The sequence below is a fragment of the Homo sapiens genome, chromosome 4 (assembly GCF_000001405.40).
Source record: "Homo sapiens chromosome 4, GRCh38.p14 Primary Assembly".
Classification (NCBI taxonomy): domain Eukaryota; kingdom Metazoa; phylum Chordata; class Mammalia; order Primates; family Hominidae; genus Homo; species Homo sapiens.
The window spans coordinates 68,784,068-68,788,446 of NC_000004.12; the positions used below are offsets into that span (position 1 = coordinate 68,784,068).

Below are 4,379 nucleotides of genomic sequence, written 5' to 3' on the forward strand. Positions count from 1 at the left end.
TGGAGAATGGGTTGATGCAGCACAAATGACCTTTCTTCTTTCTGGTCATGGATTTTTTAATTTCCATGAACCAATAAGATTTTTCACCTTTCTCCTGAGCTCCGGTGCATTCAGAGTGGTATTTTTATATTTGAATAGTTGCTAGTTGTACTTTTAAGATGGATTGATGCTAGAGGTCTTCAGTTCCACCATCTTGCTGATGTCACTACTCAAAAATATTTTTACATGTTAGGAAATTATTTTGTTTTTAGGATTTTGTGTCTACGTGACACAGACATGAAAAGAGATGTACTCTTATCACTGAAACTTTTCGTATACTGTTTTGGTTGTGTGCATTTTCTAGTCATGAATGATTATTTATTTAAGCCATATGTTTTACACATAGACTTTCTTAAAAAGAGACTAGATGGTTCTATGTGTCAGAATATAGAGACAGAATATAACTACACACTAATAATTTCTCAACTCTTTATTTTAGAAGTGTAAATAACCTTTATTTTAATATTTTTCATATTACACCTCTGTAATGCAGAGAAATTTTTATCTTCAGGAAATGGAAAATTTTGTCCAGAGTTCATGGGAAGATGGTATTGTGGTGCTTTCTCTGGGGTCACTGTTTCAAAATGTTACAGAGGAAAAGGTTAATATCATTGCTTCAGCCCTTGCCCAGATCCCACAGAAGGTCAGTAAAACCTCCAATCCTGATAAGTAGCTATTCACATAATGAGAAAGTATAGCTTTTGCCTACTGATCCTTGCTGTTACTGGAAACAACACTCTTGATTGTGGTTTGTTTATAATAAAATAGAAATAATAAATTAAGCCCCTACATCTTATTTTACAATTTGAAATCTAAAGGCATGTGCCAACTGTTCCAAAATAAGTTCTGACATTTATTATTTCCAAGGACCAGAAAAAAGAAAACTGATAAAAAAAAGATAAAGAAGAATCAGTCTCAATCTCAAGAATATCCTTCTCATATTTGAGTGCATAAAAACTGTATTCATGGTACTTTTGCATAGAAATAAAAGCTCAGCTTAATGTAATCTTTCTCAATAATTAGAGTTTTTAAGAGTTAAATGTCAATTGCAATTATATTATAGTAACTTAATTATTTAAGTAATGTAATTATTTATAATACTCAACTGATTTTAACTTTGTTACTACTATAATTCCAGAATTTCACACTTTAGATAGTGCTATATATAAACTATCCAAAAGATATTTTACTTTCTATTTAGCTAAAATACATCAAACTCAATAAAGGCAAGTACACTAATTAGGAATGTGAAATCTTGTAATTTTAATTACAAAATTATCTGTTAAGTAGTTTGAAAAATCTGTGCCATCATTTCTTTTCAAATGTATGACATTTTTTATAGGTTTCCCACAATTAAAAATTATTGAAAACAGGTACAATCCCAAAGAAAATTTATCATTGAACAACGGAACATAAGTAATTCTCTAGCTTATACTTCTTCAATAAAACAGTTAAATATAAGAAAGCAGAGGTCAGAAAGAAAATAGAGAAGAAAAGACAACTGATTATCCAAAACACACACAAAATTGAAAGCAAATTTTATCTGCGGGGAATGGTAAATTTGATGGTAGAAGTAGAATAGTTCCATGGTTTAAAATGACATAGGGATCATGTACTTATAAAATTTTTAATTCTTATTAGAAAATTGAGTAGCCAGTGCTGAATTACTTTTTAATTATTCACTGATATTCTCATTTTCAGATATTTTTGATTGATAATAAAATAATAATTGTATACTTAATAGGCAACAAGTACACATTATCTGAAAAGACCTTTGTAAAATGTCCTACTATATCTTTTAGTGTTTACACAGTACGTCTACATACCCCTGTCTCAACCATCACCTGAAGTACAATGAGTGTATAATTTATAACTATATCTACATACTTAGAATGCTAATGTCCTGTAGTTCAATCTGTGAAGTACATGTGTTTCTTCCATAGGTGTTATGGAGGTACAAAGGAAAAAAAACCATCCACATTAGGAACCAGCACTAAGCTGTATGATTGGATACCCCAGACTGACCTTCTTGGTAGGCCTATGAGAAAGTAAAAATATGAACTAGATGAGGAAAAATGAATAAATGTTAAACAGTGAGCAAATTCAGCAAATATTTAAAATTATAAAACTTTATTTTACTTATACTTTTGAAGCAGATATAATTAAAGGATTGACTAAAATTGTATAGATAGACTCACACTTTCTATTGTTAAGATGAGAGTGACAGGAAATTCAGGAGGAATTAATGCCTCTTTTTCTGAAGATAGAAATGATCTTTACTAGCAATGCTCCATGTGCTCACCTTCTAAAGAAAATGCTGTACGCTTCAGTGAGTTATCTCATAATTCCCATCTTTGGTGCTGAAATTATTTTAAAAATTCATAATAAAATATCTCACCATTTCTCATTCAATTTGCATACAAGGTCACCCCAAACCAAAGCTTTTATCACTCATGGTGGAATGAATGGGATCTATGAAGCTATTTACCATGACGTCCCTATGGTGGGAGTTCCCATATTTGGTGATCAGCTTGATAACATAGCTCACAGGAAGGCCAAAGGAGCAGCTGTAGAAATTAACTTCAAAACTATCACAAGCGAAGATTTACTCAGTGTTTGAGAACAGCCATTAACAATTCCTCGTAAGTACTACTGATTGTAAAGACTGATCTAACATTGATTATGTTATACATTATGCCAGGAAATGTTAAATATAATCCTGGTAGACATTTTAAGGGATTTTCCTCCGCAATATTAAGTCATTAATCACCTTGGTATTGGAATAGTCCTGGATATTATAGTTCATAGTGTGTCAATCTTCATGGAAATATTAGGTTTAAGTTAACAACTGGCTTACTAAACTTTTATTCACCTCTTTGTTTTACCCCATTTTGTTAAGAATATACTCTTTTTCAGTCTCCCCACTATATCTGTTTAATGCTATGCAACCAATAATGTTCACGTCACAACCAGCATCAATCTTTTACCCAACAAATTTTTAGCTTGCATAACATATACTACAGTTTATCTACCTGTCTTTTATGAAAACAAAACTACAACTTTCTAATTTCTATGTGTGTTTTTGCCTTCCAGTTACAAGGAGGATGCTATGAGATTATCAAGAATTCACCATGATCAACCCATAAAGACCCTGGATAGAGCAGTCTCCTGGATTGAGTTTGTCATGTGCCACAAAGGAGCCAAGCACCTGCGATCAGCTGCCAACGACCTCACCTGGTTCCAGCACTACTCTATAGACATGATTGGGTTCCCACGTGCCTGGGTGGCAACTGCTATATTCTTGGTCTCATGATGTTGTTTATTTTCCTCTCAAAAATTTAATAAAACTAGAAAGATAGAAAAGAGGGAACAGATCTTTCCAAATTTAGGGAAGACCTGATGGGGTAATCCTGTTAATTCCAGCCACAAAGACTTTAGTGAAAACATGTTCCCTTCCTATTTTCATACTATCTATTCTGATATTTTATCTTAGCTAAGTAGCCTAGAATTCCACGATCATGAAGTTGTGAGTATATCTTATTGTTGCATTGTATTTTCCTAGGTGTCCTTACTCTCTTCTGTCACTTATTAACACAAGGACATTAATACATCTACATTTTCCTATTTCTGATATCATGGTTTCCATGATGTCATCACTTCTATAACCTTAAGTGATAGGGTGACCTTCAGTATGCTGATTCCTGGTGTTTGCACAAACACATGGATGTAAAGAAGTAAAAAATGTAAAATTCACGAAATTCAGTAAACCACACAAATCAGTTAAGCATTCTATGCCTTAGCTTGTTATGAGAAACATAATGATTTTTATTTTTCAATTTAAATAAGCCCTTCTACATACCCAGCATTACTGATCTCAGACAATGAATTGCTAAAAATGACAATAGAGCATTACACTCAGAATAGTTTGCTATATTTCCACATACCTCATCTAGATGTCATGGCCTACATTTCTGCCATCACTCAACCAACATTTTTTGTGTGCTCTTGATGATAAATAGACAGTCCTCAAATAATAAAAGAAACTAATAATTTCTTACATAGAGAAAATGTCAATAAGATATTCAAGGTAACCAGATTATTTTGAGATAAGTAACCATTAGAAATATGTGGTTTTAATTGCTGATTTTATAAAATTTTAGTTGATGGTACACTTAATAAAGAAGATTTAAATGTCTATTCTTTAAAAATGATGAATACTTATAATTCTTATCTCTATAATCAAAAGTCTAATTAATGTAGAAAAATAAAGAGATGCTTGCTCTGAAAGTAAGATCAGTATACGGTTTTTCAGTCTCAATCTTCGAGAACTGCAAATTCAT

General features: G+C 32.0%; 1 pseudogene; it reads left to right on the forward strand.

Annotated features, from left to right (window-relative positions):
• Positions 522-3,609, forward strand: LOC100422026 (UDP glucuronosyltransferase family 2 member A3 pseudogene; annotated as a pseudogene).
• The last annotated feature ends 770 nt before the right edge of the window (positions 3,610-4,379 follow it).